Source organism: Homo sapiens, chromosome 4 (genome assembly GCF_000001405.40).
Source record: "Homo sapiens chromosome 4, GRCh38.p14 Primary Assembly".
NCBI lineage: Eukaryota > Metazoa > Chordata > Mammalia > Primates > Hominidae > Homo > Homo sapiens.
This window is the reverse complement of record NC_000004.12, coordinates 102,068,081-102,075,420: the sequence shown is the minus strand read 5'-3', so window position 1 is coordinate 102,075,420 and position 7,340 is coordinate 102,068,081. Positions and strand designations below refer to the sequence as shown.

At 35.1% G+C, this 7,340-nt stretch overlaps 1 protein-coding gene across 3 annotated transcripts in view; it reads right to left on the bottom strand.

The window, feature by feature from the left end:
- Nucleotides 609–7,340, bottom strand: part of BANK1 (B cell scaffold protein with ankyrin repeats 1) — a 284,083-nt gene continuing 277,351 nt past the window's right edge. For all 3 annotated transcript variants that reach the window (NM_017935.5, NM_001127507.3, NM_001083907.3), the window contains 4 exons: nt 4,117–4,146; nt 3,021–3,076; nt 1,673–1,737; nt 609–1,416 (listed from right to left, as the gene is read on the bottom strand). In NM_017935.5, the coding sequence (NP_060405.5) occupies nt 1,678–1,737; nt 3,021–3,076; nt 4,117–4,146 (146 nt within the window). In that variant the 3' untranslated portion in view covers nt 609–1,416; nt 1,673–1,677. The remainder of the gene's footprint in view (nt 1,417–1,672; nt 1,738–3,020; nt 3,077–4,116; nt 4,147–7,340) is intronic.

Below are 7,340 nucleotides of genomic sequence, written 5' to 3'. Positions count from 1 at the left end.
TAAGGAAGGGGATAGCTCTTGGCTTAAGTTAGGAGTAATGGCTTGGGAATATATTTAATTTGAAGAAGGGATGATGAAAAAGATAAGATACACGAACTCTGAAAATTCAATTCAAAGTCTTCAGAAGATTTTACATTTGGGCCTTTCCTTTCTGGCAGTGGCTATGGCTCTTTTAGAAATGCTCCAAATCTCCAAGGAAATGTCTTATTTCTTTTTCTTATCTTTGGATGGGACAACCCACAGAAATGGAGGCTTAGTGTGTAAAAGGACATGTCAGTTCTTGAAATGTTGGATGTAAAACTGTGGACTGAATTTCCAAATATCATAATCAAAAGCACTTTTTGTTAGGGATTAATCAAGCTACTGTATTATTTTTTAAAACTTGAGCTTATTTTGAGAGTGTTAACAGTTATAAGAAACCCATGATAAGTGTTTTGTAGCATGGCTTTAAATGTATATTCTTGTCACTGTTTAGAAGCTAGAAAAAAAATTGTGTTTATATGAGCCCTATATAGTAATATTAATCAAGTTTATTTATTTTAAACAATTTTTGGTAGACTTCTCCCTTTAAACCGGTAAGCAGAAAAATTTATTGGCCAATACTCCACTTGATCTTAGCCAAAAGGCCGAGAAGCAATTTTATTGGCTAATTCTTATAAATTTACTTTAAAAACTCAGACATAGCTTTAAACATTCAATTTATTTGTGGCATTTGTACATGAAAATTATATGACGATAACATTGCTTTCTATTCTAAGCTAGTAAATTGTTTCTAAGAAATAATAGATTGATAAAATTGCAAGTCTTAATACAAAGGTAGGTTATGAAAATGTATATTAATTTGAGATATAGAAAAGTTTTCAAATAATAATGTTTTCAGGGTTATATGCAAATAGACACTAAATAAGACAAGGTTTCTGCAAACATGATGTAACAATAATGACTGGAACTCTGAATGTGAGAAATTCAGAAAATGAACCAGCTACTTAAAAAGCAAAAATGTGCTAAGTAAATTTGTATTTTCATGGTTATTCTAAGGAGAGGAGGAATAATCTGTTGAGGTTAGTGCCCTCAAGCAGACCCCATAACTTTGCTACACCGCATTTAACTTCTCTGTGCTGTTTTCTTTTAATTTTCAAAATGGAAATTAGCTGTTTCATTGGTGAAGTGCATTGTAAAATGAGAGAATTTTCAAATAATGCAATTACTCTATGGTATTCTGTTTTAATAGTAATATACCCATATGAAGCAGGTATAATGAGAATAAATTTTGCCAATAACAAATTCTGAAATCTGAAGTTTTGTTTCTGCTGTCATAGTATGAATTCGCTTTAAAGAGAGCAGGCAATCCAAATTCAAGCTTGCTTCACCCTGAAAGCAAAATGTCCGTAGATTCGTGAGTTTCATTATAATAACCTGGAAATGAGAAAATAGGAAATGTATTAGTGAATAATAGCTCATCAATTTAAATTGATTAATTGGCATTAAATCACCCCTGTACATAAATCTTTCTACAGAGCAATCACCTTTAGCTTGAAAAATACATGTTAATCCTTTCAGGAGAAGACAATGAAATCTTTAAAAAATTCTGTTTTTTAGACAAATGATACCTTCAAGTCCCTAACAAGGCTGCTTTAGATTTTCTAAAAAATATACACAGCTAATATTTTACCTTCTTTAATGATCTTTCTTGCAACAGAAACCAAATTCCTTTTCAACTTGGGGTCGAGCAGGAAGCTGAAAAAAAATAAAGATATAGAGCTAGTATTTCTCGATTTGTCCCTATTTTAAGGTTGAACAAAGAAATATGACAAAGTTATAGTTGCCTTTCACAGCCATGGAAAAACAGCTTTGCAGAGAAAACTGGCAAGACAATCTTCCATTTTAAAAGGAAACAGAATCATTGTAAAGTTCAACTGCATCCGAGTCCTTGAATTCAAATTTTCTTTCCATTTTGCAGAACATTTTAAGCATTGGGAATTTGTATTCTTTTCCTCTTATTCAAAATCTCCTCTCCAAAATATATGCCCTGTTTGTGCAATCCTTCAGCTCTTATAGAAGAATCTTTGGTTGATATTTTCATAAGCCCTAAGGCCATAATGCACCCACTTTTGCTACATTTGAATGAGTCTAATGAGTCTATAATATATATCTATATATTATATAGTGTATATATATATATACATATATGCACATACACACAGCTTGGTGGTGGGCTACAGAAGAATAAAAAATGCAACTGCTTCAATTCGTTTTTAAGGGTGAATGATTTTTATGATTACTTATGACTTATTTGAAATATACAAGGAACTTAAAGGGTTATTAAACTTTGGAAAATTAAAATTCGTTCATTATAAGAAGTTAGCAAAGACTCTAATTCAGGATTTTAGCAAGAAATCCAGCTGCTACATGACTCTTGGTAGCAGCGCAAGTGTGTTACATTATATATGCAGATAGTTGGAATAACATTATTTTTATGAAGAAAAATTGTAGTCAGGACATTATCAGTGTTGTCTTGGATTGGTCTTGGTTTTCCATTGCTGTTGTCTTTGCTTAGTGTTATCATTAGCTTCTCGTTAGCAATTTATTTTCAGTTAACTCTATGATGTGAAGTAATGCATATTTAAATCAATAATATTTTGGGGCTATACTTTCCCTACTAATGTCCTAGAGTTTAAGGACTGTATACATTGTGATTCAAACACAGTAGACTTATCATATTTCTATTGTTAAAACACATGTATTGATAATTCCTCTAAGATTTTTTTGGTCTGTACATGTTGAATTTAGCCACACTTTGGCCTCAGTGGCTTTTTCCTTTGAGTTCCCTCTTTGTTTTTTTTCCAAATAATTTCCTTAAATAAATGCTCATAGATTTTGCACACAAAGGCACACCTAACCTATTTTGTTCATATCTGTTAGAATGTCTAAAAGCATAGACAGGATAGAAGGCTCTCATGTTCTTTTTTAACGAAGTTATTTCTTTGCATTTTATAGAAATCAAAATAAATACAACCTACCTTATTGCTGAAGTGTACATTATAAAACTTATTTTCATTGTGGGCAGTTTCCTTACCTAGAAATACAAACTCAGTTATTACCTCTTTATTCATTCACAAATTTGATGATTTATTTATTCAGTACTTCTTAAAAATGATTTCTACAAAGGTAAGATATGGGTGAAAAGAAAAATTATTAGGAAGATAAAAGGGGGATACCGAAAAGGCACCCTTGGCATGTGCTGTTAATTTCTCCTGCCCATGTGGATTGACTTGGGTAGGATACTGAGGACCTACAGGAGTCACTTGAGTTTAGAAACAATCTTTCCAACACCTCTGAGTAACAACCTCCACTTGATTACTCCTTCTTCCTTTTCTTTTCCACATTCACCAGGATTGGCCAATTACAAAACACACTTTTCCACAAAAACCTGCGCCTTCTACTCCCTGCTCTCCTAGACTACTGCTCCTCCTGCCTTTATCACTGGCATTCCATTTCTCATCCCAGCCACAGGGCTCAGTTCTATGGCTTCTTCATTCTCACAGTCAGTGGTTTGGTCCAGGCTATGGAGAGTTGCTTCTAGAATATTCAACAGCTCCCTAGCTGACGTCTAGCTCCTCCTTACTATCCCATCAGCACACAATCCCCCCATCACATGGAAATGAGTTACCCTCTCAAATGTTTCTCAAATTTCATTTGCTTTATCAGTAACTCCCAAGTATCAAGCACGAGCTTCCATTTACATATATCATTATCAGTCTTTATAGCAATTCCCCATGGTACAATGCTTATCTACGTTTTGCATATGAGAAAACCGAGGCCCACAGAGCGTAAGTGACTTGCCACAGGTCACAATTAGTAAGTTGAGAACAGCAGGATCAATCAAGAATTCCAAACTCACGGTCCTTTTATTACGTTATGGTGCCTTCAGTGTTTCTATTTTATAGTCGCTTCACGTTTATTTTGGATGTCAAGTTGTTTTGCATATAAATATAAAATCTATGTGAATGTTTACACTGACTTGCTTAATCACATTAGGTTTACATTAATATTGAAATTGATTTACTCTGTACTTTGTTTTAGTCTTAGATCCTTCAATAAATACCAAGCACTTACCACCTGGATGGTGCACAATGGTGAGTTTATCTGGAAGACAAAAAAAAGCATGTTCTACTGAGTTTTGTTCAATATTTATCTTAAATTCTCTCTCTTATTTTTTTAATTGTTGGACTACTTCTTGTCTTTGAGGTTGCTATGAAATCTCACATTCTGATCTAAAAATATCAACCCCAAATTTCTCTACCTCCAGCCACTGTGAGTGAAACCATGCCTTTTATTACTTTTGTCCTTTCCTCTCCCAACCTTTGTCTCAAGGTATTATGATTTTAGATATGTTTGACATTAACACAAGCTTGCTGCCCTGCCTTGATATTCCGCTAGCTTGAGCTACTTCATTCTTTTTAAAAATCAACTTTATTCAGGAATAATTACATACAATTCAATTATTTATAAGGAAAGAGGTTGATGATTTTTGAGAAATACATATGGCCATGTACCCACCAACTTAATTAGGATAGAGACCATTTTATCTCCGTAGAATATTCCCTAATTCTCCCTTATGTCAACCTTCACTCAAACATTACTCATGGCACCCCCGATCTGATTTTGTTGCAGGTAGGTAGCTAGCCAGGCATGAGCGAGGTGGGAGAGGGCTCCACACCACCCACCAGGAATGTCAGGCGACCATTAGGTGATGGTTCAGCAGTTATCACACTGCCTTTCTAAAAATGATAATTGGCAGCCTGTGCCGGGGAGAGGGAATTTGCTGATGGTCCAGAGTTGCCTCACTAAAGTGATAATTGATCACAGGTGCCAGGCAGAGGCAATTTCCCAATCAGATAAAAACACTTGAAATTGGTAATCAACTTCCAATAAATTCTCAGTAATTAGGTGAGTGAGCTCCAGCATGCACATTAAGAGATAAAATGGTGGAGTATGACCTTCCAGGGGCATTCCACTGGAAAAGAAAAGAAAGCCTTATGTGGGCATGCATACAACTTTCTGAACACACTGCGCATGCTCACTTCCCAAGTGTAAGGCGGACACCGTGCATGTGGGCAGTTCACCCTTAGGGAAGAATGAAGGGAAAGGGGTGCAAGATGCTGGAAGTTGGCCAGCATATAAAGTCTTAGGATCAAGGTTAAACAGGGAGCTTGACCTCCACAGTGCCTGCTTGGGTCTCTTTCAAATATGCTTTTCTTTCCTTCCTGCTCTAAAGCTTTTTAATAAATTTCCACTCCTGCTCTGAAACTTGCCTCAGTCTCTTTTGCTGCCTTATGCCCCTCTGTCAAATTCTTTCTTCTGAGGAGACAAGAATTGGGGTTGCTGCAGGCCTGTATGGATTTGCTGCTGGTAACCTGGATATTTGCCACCCCTAAGAATTTCTACTTCTACAATTTTGTCTAGATTAGTTTTATCTAGAATTCCAGATAGATGGAATACTACAGCATGTAGTATTCCTTTGTGTCTGATTCCCTTGTGTCTGATCCATCCTTTTTATCTGTTATCTTTCACTCAGTATGTGTAATGTTTGTGAGATTCATTTATATTGTTGTTATAATAGTAAGTATTCCTTTTTATTGCTAAATAGTATTCCATAGTATAAATATATCACAGTATAAGCATGTATTCTTCCATTGGACATTTGCATTTGTTGTAATAACCCAGTTTAATTGTTTCCAGTTTGGATATTATGAATGAAACTGCCACGAACTTTTGTGAACAAGTCTTTGTGTGAACACAAGCATTTATCTGTCTTGGAAAAAAACCTGGAATGGAATGACTAGGTCATATGGTAAGTGCATATTTGACTTCTCCACAGTTATCACTCCACTTTATATTCCCATAAGCAATGCATACAATGCATATCCAGTTCCACATCCTAACCAACAGTCTTCTCAAATGGTAATTCATTATACTTTTTATGTATTGGTATATCAGTGTAGTTGAATTTGCCTTTTGCTAATGGTTAATGATATTGAGCATCTTTTCACATGCTTCTGGGCCATTTGCTTTCATAAACTAAGACGTGGGTACTAGATGTGCTCCTTGATGCTGGGCCGTCACTGCCTCTAGGTCCTCTCAGCTGAAAGAGTTAAAGAAATATACATACTTGTACATACAACTATATTTCCATATTTATCTCTCTGTAATTATTTGTTATACTTTTACTTCCAATTCCAGTGCAATACCATAACATTCATTCTAGCCCTTCTTCTTTCCTTAATTATAACTGATTTCTCAGACAATAAAAAACCTGGCTCTCATTATCCATAATACATTTTTTTTGCTTATATTCCATTTTGCCTCCTGTATCTGCCTTGTCCTCATTTACTGAATAAGTAAAATATTAACAAAGTTCTAAAAGTGAGAATTGTACAAAGAGGTATACTCAGAGGAGTGTGGAATTTTATTTTTTGAGTCAATTTTGGCAAGTTTTGTTTTTCAAGTAATTTGTCCTTTTTGGTCTAAGTTGTTAAATGTATTGGCAGAAAGTTAACTACATATTTTCTTAGTATCTTTTTTTTTTTTTTGAGATGGAGTCTTGCTGTGTTGCCCAGGCTGGAGTGCAGTGGAGAAATCTTGGCTCACTGCAACCTCCACCTCCTAGGTTCAAGCAATTCTCCAGCCTCAGCCTCCAGAATAGTTGGGATTACAGGTGCATGCCACCACGCCTCGCTAATTTTTTGTATTTTTATAAGAGACAGGGTTTCACCATGTTGGCCAGGCTGGTCTTGAACTCTTGACCTCAGGTGATCCACCTGCCTCAGCCTCCCAAAGTGCTGGGATCACAGGCGTGAGCCACCATACCCGGCCAGAGCCACTGTGCCTGGCCCTTAGTATGTTTTTAATGTCTGTAGGATCTGTTGTAGTAACCCAATTTAATTCCTAATTTAGGTATCTTGTTGTCTTTTTTTTTCCTTGATCATTCTTCCCATGGGCTTATCAAATTTATTTATGTTTTCAAACAACTTACTTTTGATTTTATTTTCTTGTTTATCTCTTTCCTTTTTTACTGATTTCTGATCTTAATTATTTCTCTCCTCTTACCTCTTTTTGAAGGTTTGCTTTTCATTTTCTATTTTTCTAAAGTGGAAACTTAAATCATTGACTTAAAGCTTTTTGTTATTTTCTAGTATAATATTTATAGTAATACATTTCCCTTTAGTTAGAACTGTTAACTACATACTTGTTTCACCTGCATTTCACAAATTTTGATATTTTTTCATTATTATTCAGGTTGAAATACTTTCTTATGATTTCTTATTTGACCCTCATGT